Raw genomic sequence first — 1,130 nt, forward strand, 5'->3', positions numbered from 1 at the left:
TAAGGATAAATGTTAAGGAGGGGATAAAGCTGTTTTGTACCCCTTATTTATGTTGCAAGTATCTGGAGTCAGTCCTTCATTGATTAATACATGCACCTCATTGTTCTCCCAGACCCTTGCTATTCTTTATCAAAGAATAACCTACAAATCCATTTTATTTATTTACATGTAGGACCTATATAATCTCAATTTTTTTTTTAAGACAGAGTTTCACTCTTGTTGTCCAGGCTGGAGTGCAATAGCACGATCTCAGCTCACTGCAAGCTCTCTCTCCCGGATTCAAGTGATTCTCCTGCCTCAGCCTCCCGAGTAGCTGGGATTACAGGCACCCACCACCACGCCCAGCTAATTTTTTGTATTTTTAGTAGAGATAGGGTTTCACCATGTTGGCCAGGCTGGTCTTGAACTCCTGACTTCAGGTGATGCACCCACCTCAGCCTCCCAAAGTGCTGGGATTACAGGTGGGTGTGAGCCACCGCACCCAGCCCAATGTCAATGTTCTAATCTAGGAACTCACAAACTACAGTTGGCAACCCAAATCTGGCCATAGTCTGTTTTTGTAAAAAAAAAATTTATTAAGACACAGCTACACTTTTTCATTTGTGTAGTGTTTGTTGCTACTTTCATACTACAATGGCAGAGTTGAGTAGTTGTGACAGAGACCATGTGGACAAGAAAGCCTAAAATATGTATTACCTGTTCCTTTGCAGAAAAACTTTGCCAACCACTGTTCTAATCCATTCTGGATATGCAAATGTAACTATTAACACACATCACTCATCAAAGTCGTTGTTCCTCTAAGCACACTGGGATGTCACAGAATGTCAAGAGAAAGGAAATAAGGGTCCTCCCTGGACAGTCAAAGGTTAATGGGAAAATGAGGAGTTTTTTTTTTTTTTTTCTGATACAAAATATTCAGTTCTGAGATAAGTTTCATCTGTATTTCAAGTTGCCCATCCAGACACTGGAATATTGATAAAAAAATTACATAGGTTGCAGAGTGATATGAATGTATTTAATGACAATGAACTGTATACTTAAAAATGGTTAAATAGTAAATTTTATGTTCTGTATTTTATCACAATTTACAAAAAATATATAGAAAACTGGAGCTACACAGTCTTTACCTT

This window comes from Homo sapiens, chromosome 2 (assembly GCF_000001405.40).
Source record: "Homo sapiens chromosome 2, GRCh38.p14 Primary Assembly".
Lineage (NCBI taxonomy): Eukaryota > Metazoa > Chordata > Mammalia > Primates > Hominidae > Homo > Homo sapiens.